At 46.1% G+C, this 17841-nt stretch overlaps 1 protein-coding gene across 5 annotated transcripts in view; it reads right to left on the bottom strand.

Annotated features, from left to right (window-relative positions):
* The window catches only part of KCNN3 (potassium calcium-activated channel subfamily N member 3), a 172827-nt gene that overhangs the window by 64086 nt on the left and 90900 nt on the right, over positions 1 to 17841 (bottom strand). For all 5 annotated transcript variants that reach the window (NM_002249.6, NM_001204087.2, NM_170782.3 and 2 more), the window contains exon 3: positions 10435 to 10853. In NM_002249.6, coding sequence (NP_002240.3) covers positions 10435 to 10853 — 419 coding nt within the window. The remainder of the gene's footprint in view (positions 1 to 10434; positions 10854 to 17841) is intronic.

Here is a 17841-nt window from a genome sequence, read left to right on the forward strand (position 1 = left end):
CACCTATCTATAAATCGGTAATATCCTACATAATGCTATTTTGTACGCTCCTTTTTCAAATATTACATCATGAATATTTTCCTACCTTACTGTAATTTTCAAAAGATTGATTTTTAGGCCGGGCGCGGTGGCTCACGCCTGTAATCCCAGCACTTTGAGAGGCCGAGGCAGGTGGATCACTTGAGGCCAGGAGTTCAAGACCAGCCTGGCCAATATGGAGAAACTCCGTCTCTACTAAAAATACAAAAACTTAGCCAGGCGTTGTGGCAGGTGCCTGTAATTTCAGCTACTCGGGAGGCTGAGGCAAGATAATTGCTTGAACCCGGGAGGTGGTGGCTGCAGTGAGCCGAGATGGCGCCACTGCACTCCAGCCCGGGCGACAGAATGAGACTCCGCATCAAAAACAAACAACGAAGTAACAAACAAACAAACAAACAAACAAAAACGAAAACAAACACGTTGATTTGATTTTTTAAAATTCTTGCTAACTACCCATCATATGGATGTGCCATACTTGTTTAGCCATTGAAATCCTAGATGTTTACTTGGTTTCTCATTCTTTTCTATTATAAACTGCACCATGCAGAAGAGGTTTGATGTAAATTGATTATTCTATTAAAATAGCTTCCTAGAAAGAGAATTCCTGGATCAAAGTTACAAACTCAAGGCTCCTGTGACAAATTGTTAAATTGTTTTCCAGAAAGATGGTCTAATTTCCTTCTTGCCCTCAGCGTAAGACAACCCCATGCCCGCCCACCGCCAACAATAAGAAGATTCTCCAGCACTGAGTTATATTTATTTAAAATTTTGTCAACTCCAGAGGGGAAAAAGTAATTCTCCTTGTAGTTATAATTTGCAGTTCTTTGATTAGAGGGACTGAATATGTGTTGTGTGTTTTATTTTATTGGCTTTTTGTATTTCTTCCTTTGTAGTTGGCCTTATCTTCAGCCTATTTTTTTCACTGGGGAGATAAGTTCTTCTGATTAGTTTCTAAGACTGCTTTGTATAATAGGGATATTTACCTCTTGTCATGTTTGCTGCAAATACTTTTTCTAGCATAACATTTGCTCTTTAAATAAGTTCATATTTTTTGAGGGACTGAAATCTAAAATTGTGTGTATGATGTAATCAAACACACCAGTTTTTTCCTTCATGTTTCTTCTGAGATTTTATGCTTAACAGTTCTTTCTCCTCTCAGGGCTGATTAAATATTCACTTTGTTTTCTGGAGCTTGCTCATGGTTTCTTCTTTTACATCTGACTTTTTAATCCACCTGGAATTTATTTTGGTGGCTGGTGAGAGCTAGGGTTCCAATTTGATTTTTCATCCAAGCTTCCAATTTCTCCATTACCATTTATTGAATAATCTATCGCTTCCCAGTTGGTTTTCTTTCTCGTATATTGGGTTCTAACATAGTAGGGTTTATTTCAGTGTTTTCCATTAGGTTTCATTGATCTGTCATTATTGATTTTTCAGTAATGCCAGAGGGACTTAATTACTTTCAGTTTTATAATACATTTTAATATCTAGTAGAGAAAGCCCCCTCAATGGTCTTCTCTTTCAAAAAAAGTTAAGCTATTCTCACTTATTTATTAAAACATCCTAAGAATCAGTAGTTATTCTCCATTAAAATTTCTAATTTTGTGTTTTCTTTTTTCTCAATTAAATTTATATTTTAGAAGTTGGTATCTTTTGGATTTATAAATTATGTTTTTCTGGTTTTTAAATTCATTAATTCCTATCTTTGCCTTTGTTATAAACTTAATCTTCCCTCCTGAGGTTTGTTTTGTTCTTCTAATGGATTCAGTTATTTTCTCTGTTCATTTTTTTCTGTTTTTGTTATTAAAAATGGGGTCTCCCTATGTTGCCCAGGCTGAGGCAGTGGCTATCCACAGGCACAATCATAGTCCACTACTGGCTCGAACTCCTAGGCTCAAGTGATCCTCCCACCTCAGCCTCCCAAGTAGCTGGGGCTATCAGTGCACACCATTGTGCCTGAAAAACTTTAAGGATGTTTTTCATCTGAGTACACCTTTGGTCACATCCTGAGTTTTTACGTACAGGGTCATCATTGTTGTAATTTTCTAATAGCCTTTAACGGTAGTTTTGAATTCTCTGTTGTAATTGAGGAGATTGCTTTAAAAGTCCCACCAAAAAGTTGTCCTTTAATTGGAGTTTTATAGGCTTGTGGTCAGAGAATACAGCCCGAGCAACTTTTCTGATGTTTTGAAATGTGTGACCAAGAAGTTGATCAATTTTTTAAAGTGTTCCCTGGATGCTTAAAAAGAAGATGTTTGTTTATAGGCTACAAAGTGCTCAATTAATTTAAACATTTAAAAATTCAGATTATCAATCTCATTTTTTGTATAAAATTCACAGTTTTACTGTATATAGCACTTTTATCCATATTAAATGGTTCTTTTGGACAATTTAATGATTTCTGTTTTGAATTCATTTTGGTTTAAAATGAGAATTTCTATTCGTTTGCCATCTGATTTGTACTTACCTAATAAATCTTTGCTCTTCATTTATTTTTGGGTCCTTCTGTTCTAGGTACTTCTTTTGTAAATTGCATGCAATTAAATTTTGCTTTTAAATCTCATCTAAGAGACATTTACTTTTAACAAGGAGGTAAACACAATTATGTTGATTGTTATAAATTTTAAGTTTGTTTTTCTCTGATCTTCTTTCATACTTTGTATTGAAATTCTTCCTTCCTGCTTCCTTTATTTTTTCTGTCTTAGCTATGTGGGCTCTGATGTGGCATGGGAGGTATATGTTTTCAGGGTAGGGAAAAGGCTCTCAGGCTGGTGTTGGAGTCTCAAGTCTGCTGGCTCTGTGGCCTGAGGCACATCGCTCAACCTCTCTGTGTCTCAACATCCTCATATACAGAATGCAGATACAGTCTCATAGAACTATGGTATGGATTAAGTGAAACAATATATGGCTGATGCTACTGTTATTCTTGTTATACTCATAAAATTTTGCCTGTGGTTCCTTTAGGTTTTAAAAAAAATATTTCTCTGATTGCTAAAACTGAGTAATAGGGCTTTATTTTAAAATTCTCCTCTACATAGGACAACGCATCTGGCATGCTTTTACTAATCCCTTCTAGCCTTCTCCTCTCAAATTTTTAATCTGAGGATTTGCAACCCTCTAATTATTATTGAATTATTGCTTTAATTTCATACATCCACTCTTTCCAGAATCTACTTTTTCTTTGACATTAGAATTTGGAGTTTTGCAACTACGCGTAAGTTTAGTCTTGATTTCATGTTTGCCTGTGTGAACCAATGTCTGCCTTTCTTTACAACATTTCATTATTAAGATCTTAATTGTGATTCAGTCTTTGGTCAACTGGCAAACGAGTTCCCCCCAAAAGTAAACTCCAAGAATGACTTTTGTTGCCCTTTGGTTGCCTCATTCAAATGACAGGGTGGATCCAAATTTAAAATACTGTGGAACTGTTCTAATGACTCTGAATTTAGGGTTCCTGAGGGAGAGTCAGCTCTGGGATGCCTGTGTGCCTCTAGGATTGTTTCACCTTATGATTCAATAAATTTTCCAGAAAAAGAATGTATTGGGGTATGTCTAGGGGTGGCTCCTCCTGTCCCCCACATTCTAACTGGAAAAGAGGAATCCGTTTCGATCTGCCTACTCTGATCTACCATCCCCACACACAACATCCCCTTACCTAGGCCAATTCTGAAAATGTTTACTGTGCGTATATTTCTGATTATGCTTTTATCCAAATTTATCATTTCTTCCTCTGAAATAACTCTAATTCTTAGATTTCACCTGGATCCTATAGCCTCCAGTTCTGTCCTATTCATCCTTTCTCTTATCTCTTCTGCATTCTGAGAGAGCTTTAAATTTTTTAAGTTTGTCTCCACATTCCACATTTTTAAAAATGTAGTGCCATCAATGTGGATTTTCATTTTGCTAAAACAATTTTAGTTTTCTGGAACTCTGTGCTTATGTGAACCAGATACATTTTCATTTCACATCTGCCCACTCTTCTCTATCATAAGGATCATATATATTCTGGCACCCTATTAGAGATGCCCAAGACTCTTCTTTCTTTTTCCTTTTTTTTTTTTTTTTTTGAGACAGGGTCTCACTCTGTCACCCAGGCTGGAGTGCAGTGGCGCAATCTCTGCTCGCTGCACTCTTGACCTCCCAGGTTAGGTGATCCCCCCACCTCAGCCTCCTGAGTCTACAGATGCACCACCACTCCCGGCTAATGTTTTTTTTGGTTTTTTTTTGTTTTGTTTTGTTTTGTTTTTGGCAGAGATGGGTTTTTGCTGTGTTGGTCAGGCTGGTCTCCAACTCCTGACCTCAAGCGATCCACCTGCTTTGACCTCCCAAAGTGTTGGGATTACAGGCGTGAGCCACTGTGCCTGGCCACCCAAGACTCTTCTAATGTTGCTTTTTGTTTTTCATAATTAAACATTTTTCAGGAATCTTCAGGATTATTTTCCTCTTCCTTAATGCTGCAGGTTTTTCTCAAAGGCCTCCAGCAGGATCCCTGTCGCCTCCCCACCTTCCCCCTCCCCAGCCATCTATCTCTCCGCCTGGCACCAGAAGGGGATCGCTACAGGCTGCTCCTTCCCTACAGGAGGCTAACTTCTCACTTCTCCAGCTAGAGGGCAGGGTTCCTGGGTCTAGCAGGCTTCATCCCATGTGGTAGGCTACTTTCCTATCCTCTCTAACTAGTCCTCTGATATCATAAACCAGTGGTTTGCAAACTTTTAAAATCATGGGCTCCTACCAATTAAAAATTTTTTGAGCATGCCCTCCTCCATTATACATATATTTATTATAAATTACAGACATGTATTGCTCTCTATCCATTTATTAAATACTAGCCAGGCTTTATATATATATATATATATATATATATGTAGAAGTTCTGATCATTTCTCCCAATAGTCCCATGGATCACTGTGCGTGTGCCCCACATTGGAGGTTATAACTCAAACCAAAGCAGTCCATGAGGAACCACAGTGCCTGGCCCCACTGTTCCCAGGCTCTGCTCAGTTCTGCTCAGCCTACAGGGTTTAGCTTGCAGGCTTCCATCAACCCCATGTAGGGTGCTTCATCCCTGTAATGACCACTTTCCTACTGTTTTGTTTTGGGGTTTGTTTTTTTTTTTTTGAGATGGAGTCTGGCTCTGTCACCCAGGCTGGAGTGCAGTGGCGTGATCTCGGCTCACTGCAAGCTCCGCCTCCTGGGTTCACGCCATTCTCCTGTCCCAGCCTCCCGAGTAGCTGGGACTACAGGTGTGTGCCACCATGCCCGGCTAATTTTTTTGTATTTTTAGTAGAGACGGGGGTTTCACCGTGTTAGCCAGGATGGTCTCGATCTCCTGACCTCGTGATCTGCCCGCCTCGGCCTCCCAAAGTGCTGGGATTACAGGCGTGAGCCACCGAGCCTGGCCATTCCTACTGTTTTCTTGGAGTGGAAGTACCCCTTCTTGGAGGGGGTAGGAGGTTGTGGGAAGGAGATGGGAGGAGGAGGGAGCTGTGGTCTTGCTTCCTGCTGCTGGCAAGTGCAGGCCTGGGTGTCTGAGGCAGGGGCAGAAGAGAGTACAGCAAGGAAGCCTCTTTTTATCTCCTTACAATGGGAGTGGTGGCTCTCTTAATGAGAGAAAGAATGGGCCACAAATTGTTTTTCTCCTGCTTTAGGAGCCAGATCTCCAGAATAAAATTTCTCATTAAAATATCAGTATGCCAAAAGTTAACCAGCAAAATAAAAAACCTGTTGACAGACTGGAAGGCCTGGGACACTGAGACAGCCTGTTGCAGAATTTGGAGCCTCAGGAGGGACCAAAGTGAAGGGTCCAAAGGGTCCGAAGGGAATCCACTCAAGAGGACAGTAAGGTCATTTATAAAGCATGGCTGTGACAGCAAGGCTCACCCCACTTCATCAATGTTATGGGAGGCCTTGTTGCTCCTCCCAAGGAGATAAACATACAAAGGTGAGCTGGCAGGCCACTGCACTGCTCAAGGCACGCTAGGAAGGCTGGCTCTCCAACCTGCTGCCGCAGTGAGGACCCGGGGCCTCAGATGGTCTCTCCACCAGTAAAGCTGCTTGGCACTTGACAGTGTAAAATCAGGAGGTTCCTCCCTGAGGGAGGTGGGCAGGCAGCCAGGAGAATCCCAGAGAATGCAGAGTGCCACAACTGTCAGGCCTCGGAACCCATGATGTAATGCCTCTCTGGGGGCCAAGGAAAACAAGCCCACTGTTGTCACTGCCCTCCCAGCAACCAGGCGCTGCCCTCCCCATGGCACGGCTGTTCTGCGTAATTATGATCCCACTTTCTCTCCTTGGGAGGAGGAAATATGAAAAACCTTTGTTGTCACATAAAAACCAACCCAAGATATGAGAACTGTCTTTTAAAATACATCTTGCTGTAGAGAGATTTCCATAGCAACTTCAGAAGTGTGTGTATACAACTAGAGATAAGTCCAGGCTGATGAAAGCTACCTGGAATGTGAACAGGCTCTGGGCATCAGCAGCTGTGGATTTTTCTAGAACCTGTCATGCTGCTGTGTGACCCTGGGCAAGTCACTTACCCTCTCTGATGCCTAAGGTGATAGAATCATCATTAGATCAGGCTGAGAGAGATCAAGGCATCCTGTCCACACTACCCTGGTCTGACGCTTCAGTTCCCCAAAGCTTCCCCTGCTTCCAGCTTCTGTCCAGTCTCTGGCTGAATAAGTCCTGGCTGAAGGCCTCTGCCAATCTTACTTATTATTTGACATTGGGAAACAGAATGATCATTTAAGCTTGATTCTAAAAATAGTGCTTAGTCTTGGTAAGAGAAGTGCTTTGCCTGTTTAGGAAACAATATATTAACGGGGCAGATTCCTGGGAAACAGTCTGTGAGATGCTGAGATTTGGGGGTGGGAGTTTTACTGGGGCTGCTCTCAGGATCAATACCTCTGGGGTATAGAGGAAGTTCCCGGATGCAGTGGTAACAGAGGCCTTAGGCGATCCCTCAGGGACCCTGGAGCCTGGCTGAGTGTCCTACTAGAAGCAAACGGGGTTAGGCCTTTGAACTCCCACACTGACAAATCCCCTCGGGAGCTTGCTGCCCCCAGGCAAGGGGTTTGACCTGAAGAGAGGGACTCAGTCACAACCCCAGCTAAGGGAAGGAGAGCCCGGGTCCTGGAGGGGGCATCTGTCCCCTTCATGTTGACATGAAGCAACATGTCATCCACTACATGGATGTGTTTGAATTGGACATGAAGGCAGCCCAGGAGGCTAGTATGATAACATGGTCAAGACCATAGGCAGCAGAGGCAGAGAAAACAGCAAGACTGGGATTCACATGTTAGTCTCAGTGGCCTTAAGACTCTGAGATTGGGAAAGTTGCCAGTAGAGTAGAGGCCAAGATTTCCTCGTATGTGCAGGATTCAGCCTGGGTTGGTGACACACACATGGAAGTTCAGAGTCAGAAACCAGTTCAGATTTTGGCTCCACGCTTATTATTAATAGCTCTGTGACCTCGGGCCAGTTACTTTCTATCAGTTTCCTCAACTCTCCCATGAGCCTTCATGTCCAATTCAAACACATCCATGTAGTGGATGACATGTTGCTTCACCCAAATGCCCCTCCAGGACCCGGGCTCTCCTTCCCTCAGGCAAGGTACCTCTCTCATAGATCTATTGTGAGGGCAAGCTGGGATGACATATGGATTTTACACAGAACTAGCACAGGGGTGCAACAATAACATCCACCATGCTTTAATACACCTCATGTTATACCTAAGTCTTTGGTCAAATGGCCTTTTCGCAAGAGAAGGGAACTTTCAGAGAATTTCCGATTTGCTCATTGTTCCTCTGTGCCTTGGTCTTAGCGGGGGCTTGTGACCCATGTCTGCAGAGAGAGAGAGAGAGACCCAGTGGCCCACCAGGGACCAAACTAACCCAGCCTCAGCTTGGAAGCTATGGAAGGCCATGCAATATCAAATAAGGTGCATCATCTAAGTACTTTGCAAACTACATTCTTTAAAACAAGCTTATTTTCCAGTGAAAAATAGTCACCCCTTCTTGTGATAGGTTCAATAAACTACGAAACTCACTTGCAGGTACTTTGTTGCATGTTCAGCCATCTGAAATACATGCCAGAGAGCATCTGAGGAAGTGAAAGACTTCAAATAGCTTAAAGGGCTACGCAAATTCAATTACTATGTTAATAGACAACATGGCTTCCATCATTTAGAAAGGAAAACAGGAAGAGTATAGGCCCATGTATGGTACAAGTTGGGCTGTTCTAATTAAAAGAAGGCAGCACAAAATTCCCAAGAGTTATCAAGGGATCTGCACTATTATTATTAACTTTCACCATCATTGGATTGCAGTACATAGTGCATATATACACCTTGTTTGACTCTAACAATAAATCCTGTGTCCAGCTTTCAGATAAGAAAATTGAGGTCCAGAGAGGTGAAGCGACCAGCACAATGTTGCTCAGCTAACAGTACCATGAAGAGTTTGGGGTCGGAACCCAAGCACATGCTTTCTCCATTGGGGGAAGAGTGTCTGCTTACCAGAGAAGGCTCATGAAGCCCTGTGCAGTGTGGTCCCACTCAGAGCAGATGTTGCAATGTCAGCTGCTGAGTAATGGCGAGGTTCTGAATAGGTGAGCATGGTGTGTCCCTGGGGCTCTGTGTGTGAGAAAGGTCTTCCAACACTGCACTGGCTCTCAGAACCTGAACCTGCATCCTGGAGCCTGAACCCTTGTTCTGCGGCAGCAGAATGCCCTCTCAGTTTGACCGTGTGTCTGTTGGCCAAAACGCTGAAAGAAATGTCTGCAAACAGAATGTCTCAAAAATAGGTAGGAGATACGATTCAAGGCACCCATGTAGGGTGTGTTGAGGCTAACTCCTCTCCAGACTTCTTTGTCTTGTTTGATCTCTGCTAGGACACTGGTGCATGGAAGATTTGGCAATATAATCGTAAGTGTTGACAAATTAAGGGCGACTACCAGGATTTGTGTAAATTACACAGGATGCTTCACCATACCTCCCAACATAATAAAAATAATCTATCTCAAGCAAACATAGCTTCATTCTATCTCAAGTGATCCTCATTTTAAAATGAGGAAACTGTAGCCCAGAGAGGTTAAGTAACTTGCCCTAGGTCTCACAGCTACTTAGGAGCAGAATCACGGTTTCTAACCTAGATTTAGACTCCACATGTCAAATAGATTAAAATGAATATCCAGGGCTGGGTGCAGTGGCTCACGCCTGTAATCCCAGAATTTTGGGAGGCCAAGGTAGGAGGATCACTTGAAGCCAGGAGTTCAAGACCAGCCTGGCCAACATGGTGAAACCCCATCTCTACTAAAAACACAAAAATTAGCCTGGTATGGTGGCGCATGCCTGTAATCTCAGCTACATGGGAGGCTGAGGCAGGAGAATTGCTTGAACACAGGAGGCAGAGGTTGCAGTGAGCAGAGACTATGCCACTGCACTCCAGCCTGGGCGAGAGAGCGAGACTCCATCTCAGATAAATAAATAAATAAATAAATAAATAAATAAATAAATAAATAAATAAATAAAATGAAAATCCAGGACCCCTTGCAAGGAGAAGAGTCATTAAAGGCAGCTCGAGGGTGGTGGAAGGAGGTGGCTTCAGTCCTGCCCTTGAGCCTTGTTGATGGCTGTTCCAAGGAGTTGGCATTTTGTTCTACAGCCCTGGATCTCTGTCAGGCCACATCTCCCTTCTTTCCCATGAGTAGCTTCTCTGAATGACTCCCAACCACCAGCCTCCTAAAACAATGTTTCCCAAAGTATGTTCCATCAGTACAGTGCTTCTCAAACTAAGGTGCATATGAATCACCAGGTGACCTTGTTAAATGCAAATTCTGATTCATTCATTCTGGGCTAAGGCCTGAGATTCTGGGAACTCTAACAAGTTCCCAGTGATGCCAGTGCTGCTGGTCTGTGAACCAAACTTTGAGTAGCAAGGTACCAATAGTGCTTTATAATAAAAAGGATTTGCAGGCAAATACAATTAAGAAAGGCTGAACCAAACAAAAATAAATGGTTTCATTACTTCAGGACTTCTCAGAGCCTTTAAAATGCTAATAAGCATTATTAATACCCAAGAGGAGTAAGTTGCAATGTGTTATATGTGAGTTACTGATGTAACCAGAATGCTTTGATATATTGGTTTGCAAAGAAGGAACAGAAAATCAGGAAAATTCTGTGCCTTTTTCCCACCTTACTTTGGTTCCAATGCTGCAATTCTAGCTCATACTGAACCCCAACTCAGCACTCCCCTCTTTCCCATTGTCTCCTTTCAGGTGTCTGGGTACATGCCTGTCTCCTCCATCAGACCACATACTTCCTGGCACCCCTACTCCTCCTCCCTTCCCTGTCCCAGCACAGGCTCTGTACTCAGAAAGCCCCATGTGGAATACCTTTCACAGACACGGACGGTCCAGGCAGCAATGATCCACAGAGAGATGCTGAACACGAGCAGCACAGTGCCAGGGCAGATGGTCATGAGCGTCTTCATGACAAAGCGGGTGTTGAAGTTGATCTTGTTGAGGGCCCCGATGCTGCGGGACGAGGCATCGGTGAAGAGCTTGCTGTGCAGCAGCATGACTCGGGCGATCAGGTACAGGCGCAGGAACATGGGGATAGACAGGATGATGTCCACATCGGCCTCCGCCCGGGAGGGTGTGTAGGAGAAGGCCAGGCGTGCCGTCCAGAAGAACTTGTACTCGCCAGGAATGGGGTGGATGGCGCACACCAGCATCTCCAGGCTGATGTACAGGATGCGCTCGTAGGTCATGGCTATCCGCCAGTCATCCGCGCCATTGTCGATCACGAAGAGCTGGTGGGAGCAGAAAGTCCATTAGTGTGGCCAGGACCAGGAAGCCCACAGCAGGGTCCAGGCAGGACAGGTGGGGCAGGCTGGGGCAGGCTGCTGGGCTCAGGTCAGCCTGACCACCTCAGCATGCTCTTTAGGGGCCTTGCTATGTGGCAAGAGCCCTGTATGTGGAGTAGGGAGAGCTGGATTCAGTCTACCTGGGAAGCCCTGGCTAAGACACTTTGACTCTCTTGGCCTCACTTTCCTCCTCTGCAAATCGCTGCCTGAGATATAGTGATTTATAATAAGAAATAATGTACTTGGTCTTTATCCTGGTTTAGGCACAGTTCCCAAAACGCTCGGAATTTCCAAAGTGATAAGTGTCATTTGTATGCTAATGAGATGACTAGTGGCTGGGGTCGGTCGGGGTGGGGATCCAGGGTGGCCTCAGGATGGCGCTGGTTGCCAGGGGAACCAATCTGGTGATGAGAGGGTTGGAACTTTCAGCCCCACCCCACCACCTCCTGAGAAGGAAGAGGGGCCCGAAGGTTGAGTTGATCACCAATGGCCAATGATGTCATCAATTATGTCGGTGTAATGAAACCTCCACAAAATCCCAAAAAGACAGTGTTTTGTTTTGTTTTTTTAACTTTTATTTTAGGTTCAGGGGTACATGTGCAAGTTTGCTATATAGGTAAACTCGTGTTACAGAGATTTGTTGTGCAGATGATTTCGTCACCCAGGTACTATTGGGTACAGTACCCAATAGTTATTTTTTCTGATCCTCTCCCTCCCACTCTCCACCCTCAGTGTCTGTCGTTCCCCTCTTTGTGTTTCGATGAGCTTCCAGATAGCTGCACACATGGAGGTCCCTGGACACGTGGAGTGTTGCGTGCCCAGAGAGGGCATGGAAGCTCCACCCCTTCCCATGCGCCCTGCCCTTTGCTTCGCTCCCATATGGCTGCTCATCTGAATCCTTTGTAAGGTCCTTTATAATAAACCAGTAAATGTGTTTCCCTGAGTTCTGTGAGCTGCTCTAGAAAATTAATGAAAACCTGAGAAGGGCGTCCTGGGAATCCCTGATTTATAGCCACTTGGTCAGAGGCTCAGATAAAACAACCTGGGGCTGGTGACTAGCATCGGAAGTCAGGTAAATGTGGTGGGACTGAGCCCTCAACCTGTGGGAGCCAACACTAACTCCAGGCGGACAATCAGGCTTGAGTTATATTGCAGGACACTCAGCCAGTGTCCATTGGAGAATTGCTTGGTGTGTGGGAACCACCCCCTCCTTTTTGCTGACCACAAGTGTTCTATGTTGAGCCACTTCCCAAGGTCCCTTCCAGCACACAGGTGCCAAATTGGCTGTTTCACGATGGTGAGAAAGATCAACTCATTTATATTAGAAACACATCCCTGAGCCCCTGCCAGACCTGAGCTGAGCCCTGTAAGGGGATGTAAAGATGAAAAAGTCATGTTTCCTGCATGAGTGAACTCACAAGGGCTGGCACAGATTCCTTCTCCCCACTCAGAGAAGGGGGCAGCAAGTGTTTGCTGGCAGCACTGTGCTCTCAGACAGTGCAGTGAAGTGTTCACGGCACGGACTCTGGAGCCAGATTGCCTGATCCTAACACTACTGGCTCCATGATCCTGGGCAAATTACCGAACCACCCTGTGCCTCAGTTACCTCATCTGGGGATGATGATAATAACTGCTGCATAGAGGTCACTGTGAGGCTGCAGTGGGTTCGTATATGCAACATGCATGGAATCCTGCCTAGCACCCAGCACACTATGTAACTATTAGCTATTCTTATTTGTAGCATTATTAATGGATCTGGTCTCGGTCTTTCTGTAAAATGACAGTTGGGCTCAGTGATGTCTAAACTTCCTTCTGGCCCTAAACTTTCACGAAGATGCTTCCTGCTGTCACCTCATGAGGATGGCTGTTCTCACAAGAATTGACTGAGCACCTGCTGTGTGTCCAGCCTTTGTCTTCCGGTAAGTCCCACTGTGGAGTCCCACCATATTTGATGACTGTGAAAGGGACTTCACATCCTTCCCCTCTGGGGCCTCAGTCTTCATCTGAGACTGAAATGAGAAGCCTCTAAAGTCTCATCCAGCTCCGATGATTTGATTCTTGGAGGGTGAGGCCTGAGATCCGGGCATATGTTCGGTGTGGGCCTCCTGTGCAGGCACCTCACTTCTGGGAGGTAGTGGAATGTTTATCATCACACTATGCCCTCTCTTTACTGGGTCCTTGGCCCTCCAGCAGATCTGGCTGTTGCCTGTCCCAGCTCATCCACGAACACATCCCACTCAAGACTCCAGCCTCACATGCTGCCTGCTCCACCAACAGCCACAGAGAGCTGCTGCTCTCCAAAGCTGGTTATGATTGCCTTTAAGGAGGAGCTAGCAGGGTCCTGTGGCCTAACATGAGCTCAGGATGAAGGGTACCAGCATCAGCACCTCCTGGCTGGGAGAGCAGGCCATGCATGCATCCTGGGAAGGCCTGAGCTGCAAGGCCGGAAGAAACTAGGCTGGGTTAGGAGAAATTAATGTTGGGGCCAGGGTTGGGTGGAGGTTTTATTTAACCTGGAAATACACCCTCAGCACAGAAAGCGTAACAGAGAGACTGGATCAGCGTGGATTTGCGGGGGCTGGCTGAAAGCCGAGTGAAGCCTTCCTTTCCTCCCTTGCACAGGGAGATCAGGGAATGAGGAGCCCTTTATTCTGTCCACCCAACTGTCTCCTTGATGGTCTGGGCCAAAGGAAGCTTCTGCTCTGCTTCAAAGTTAGTCACCAAGCAGCTTTCTCACTCCACTTTGCTGCCTTCCTTACAGTTCAGCAAGAACTGAGGACCCAGGAGAGGACCTATGGTACCAGGCCTGGTGTGGTGTGGGCGGGCGATGCTTGCCTTGCTTTTAGCATCTACCTGTGATATGTTTCTGCAGCAAGGGGAACATTCCAGGCAATTCATGGGCCCTGAGAGGCACAGACAGGGGAGGCAGCACTAGGAGGCAAGTCTCTTACCTTGCCGAGCCTCAGTTTCTCTTTCTCCCTGCTCCGTACCCTTACAGAGCCATACTGGAGAGCAGAGGAGACAATGGATTGAAAGGGTTTAATAAACTACAAAGGATCATTTGTTCATTCATTCATTCATTCAACAAAAATGTGTTGATGGCCCTCTGAGCAGCCAGCCCCCCACCCACCCACCCATGAGGATCCTGAAGGGAAACTACAGGGCACTATGGGAGCAACTGGCTGAGAGGCTCACCTGGTGGCTCTAATCAGGGAGCTGTCATCTCTGAACAGGAGACAGTACCCAGCACAGCACCAGCTGGAGACTCACCCTCCTCCTTCCCCAGTGCAGCTGAGCCTGGGTTTTTCCAGACATAGGTTTTCCCCAGCAATTAGAAAGCCCTAATGGCTGCTCAAAGGGTTCCCTCTGCTTCTAACTGCCGCCCGACAGGCCAAGCCATGGCAACGTGACTGCCTGGCCAAACTCTTCAAATACAAAATTAAAACCATCTACTCCGTAATAAAGAATCGCATCTGGTTACTATAGTAACTGGGTTCACTCTGGGCAGGAATGGAAGCAACGAGTAACAGATTCCTTTGATTGCCTGATGAGGAGTGGGATTGTAAGTAAGAGCTGAAGGGGAGAATGCACCGGCAGCTCTGCCCAGCGAGACGGGAGGGTGCTGGTCCCCAGCTGCCTCTCAGGTGCCCCGCCTTGGTTGTGGCTTGCTGGTGCAGGGAAGGTGGGGGCCACATGGGGTAGTGGAGCTGGAGGTGGGAGAGCTAGCCTGAAGTCCCCCACATCCAGGTATTAGCCATGTGATCTCAGGCCGTGCGTGACTTCTCCGAGCTTGTTTCCACATCTCCAACAGGGGAACACTGACTGACCTTGGCCCTGCCTGCCTCCTGGGGTTAGTGTTAGGATCCAATAATACAGATAAAAAGTTGGACAGTGCTTTACTCACTGCTCTAAAAATGTGAGGGATTATTAAGCTGGCTGGCCTGGGGGCACTCGTAAACAGTGTGTGTAAAGAGCGGGTGTTTTGAGTAGGGGGTGGGGGAGAGTTTTCAGGCTGCAGGTTAAAAGCTTCTGCTAGACAGGGCTCCGCTGCAAGGTTTTCTGCATCTGCAGGGTGGGATGTGTCCCAGAAGATCCCATTGCTGTCCCACGTGAGGACACTCTATGCTTCCTTCCTTCTGACCCTTGGAATCACAGCTCTCCAAGTGTGGCCTCGCTCCCTCCCGATTCAGAGCAAGTAGCAGATACCCCAACCCTGCTGTTTCCTCACTCTGGGTCCCATTCATTCCTAACAAAGCACAATCCCAATTATTGATTTGCATGTGTGAGGTTTTGCTGTCTCTCCCCTTAGACATGGTTCTCAACCTACTTGCGTCGCACATTAGAATGACTTGGAGGGCTTGTTCAAAAATACCCATGCCCAGGCCCAGGCCCACCCCAGGCCAAGTAATCAGAATCTCTGGGGGTGGAGCCCTGGCACGGGTGTTCTTCTTAAGGCTCCCAGGTGAGTCTAAAATGTAACCAGGGTTGGGACCCCCCAACCAGTCACAGTTGGAGCTCCAAAGAGACAAGCGCTGTGTCTTCCTTGTTCCCTGTGGCATCTCCAGAGCCTAGCCCAGATCTTAGCACTTAGTAGGTGTTCAATAAATGCTTATTTAGTGAATTAGTAACTCCCACTTACTGCGTGCCCCTGGACTAATCTTCCCTCTCTTGGGCTCAGCGTCCTCCTCTGAGGAATGAGGGAATAGACTAGACAATCCCCAAGGTACCTCCTGCTCTAAGAAGCCATAATTCTGTGGTTCTACACAGACCCTCTTGCTCGCACCTCCTGCCTCATCTGTGTTCTCGGTGCACCTGAGCTCTCCAGGGACAGGAACCGTGCCTGGCTCATCTCACCCCACTCCCATGCCTGAGACGTTGCCTGGCACAGAGTGGGCAGTCAGTAGAATCTTGGTGAATAAAGGGGTGTGTAGGCGGATGACTGTGTCATATGAAGAAAAGGACAGATTGCCTGTGGCCCTTGTTAACCACCCAGAATGGAAATTCCTGTTGAAAATCCATTCCTAAGCCTGTGACTCACAAAGGACCTGACAATTCATCTCACACCATGGGAAGGGACACCCTCTTATTCCCAAAGGGTGGTTCAACCTGGAATAAACTGTCCCAGGTGACCTCCAAGCCTTAGAAAGTTCTAGAGCAAGTCTGGAACCAGGATCTTGAGTAGCACTGGACCAGAGGGGCTCGGGGAGTGTGTATGTGGCTCCACAAAGGACTATCCTCCCCTAGGGCTTAGTCTCAGTCATCCAGCCCTGATTCTAGACCAGCTTGACTGTTGGCCTCTGATGGATTCTGGAGAAGTACTGAGGTGATGTGGACAGAGTGTGGCATGGGGCAGGGAGTACCGTGGGCCCTCAAGTGGTCTGTTCTGGCCTGTTCCAGAGCAGGAGAAGCCACAGAGGCCCAGGGCTGACAAACGAGTCTCTTCCTGATGAGGCATAGGTTTGCTCCTTGTACTCTGGCTTCCCTGAATGGGAAAAGGAAAGCCACATTCTTCGAGTCACTGACTCTTTCTGCCTCCTAAGCCTAAAAAAGTGATTTCACTCATTGAGGGTATGACTGACCTGAAGATGCAATGTGTCAGTACCACAGTCTCTGGTTTCCTGAAAATTCCATTCTTTCCTCAGATAGTTGCTCTGTCCAGAGGTGGCTCTAGGCCTAATCCCTCTACCACTTAACTGGTGGTTCTGAGAACTTGCCGGATTTTCAGCCGTTAGTATAATTCTGAGAGCTCTGGGAGGGAGATTTTATGCAACAGTGATTCCAAACTTTCCTTTAAGGAGCTTGTAATTAGAGAAAAAGGAGAACTAACCCAACTCAGTTCAATATAATAATTATTAAGAATCAACAAGGTTAGGCCATTGTGGGTATATAAATCTGAATCAAACACATGTCCCATGAATCAGTGCACAATCTCAAGTAGTTCTAGCAAAAGACATGCATGATTAGGATGCAATTTGAAAAGCTTCTTGGGTTACATAGGGCTTCAGCAGCGCCCGGAAGGCATGCATCAGACACACCAGAGGGGGCAGCTTGCAGAAAAGGCCACAGATTCCTCCCATCCCATTCACTTACTTCTGTACATGTGACTTTGCCTCTCTTCCAATCAAGAAGTACAGCCTATTTCTCTCTCCCTCTCTCTCTGTCTCTTTTTTTTTTTTTTTTTTTTTTTTTGAGACAGAGTTTCACTCCTGTCACCCAGGCTGGAGTGCAATGGCACCATCTGCCTCCCGGGTTCAAGCGATTCTCCTGCCTCAGCCTCCTGAGTAACTGGGATAACAGGCACCCACAACCACACTTGGCTAATTTTTGTATTTTTAGTAGAGATGGGGTTTCACCATGTTGGCCAGGCTGGTCTCGAACTCCTGACCTCCAGTGATCCACCCACCTTGGCCTCCCAAAGTGCTGGGATTACACGTATGAGCCACCACGCCTGGCCAGTACAGCCTATTTCTCAATCCCTTCCGTCTGAACTTAGCCATGTACCTTGCTTTGGCCAGTGGAACATTAAAAAGTGTGATACAGCAGAGGTTTAAAAAATGTCATCGCCATGAGGCTCACTATAGACACATGGCCTCACTATCCCTTTCACCCCAGCCTGCAGCCAGTACCAGCTGCCAGCCATCAGAAGCCGTCCTAGACCAGCTGCATGACAGAAGCTCACCCAAGGTGAGACCAGCAGAAGAACCACCAAGCTGAGCCCAGCCCAAATGACTGACCCACAGAAACGTGACCTAAATTATTATTTTAAGCCATTATGTTTTGAGGTGCTTTGTTATGCAACAAAACTAATATATAACAAAACTAATTCTTATATTTGGCACATATTAGAAAAGCCAGGTCATGTGCCTACTGTGCCCAACATTTTCCTTTTAGATTCTTATGCCACAGCCCCTAGCAGGAACCCTCACCCGTCCCC

Source organism: Homo sapiens, chromosome 1 (genome assembly GCF_000001405.40).
Source record: "Homo sapiens chromosome 1, GRCh38.p14 Primary Assembly".
Taxonomy (NCBI): Eukaryota; Metazoa; Chordata; class Mammalia; order Primates; family Hominidae; genus Homo; species Homo sapiens.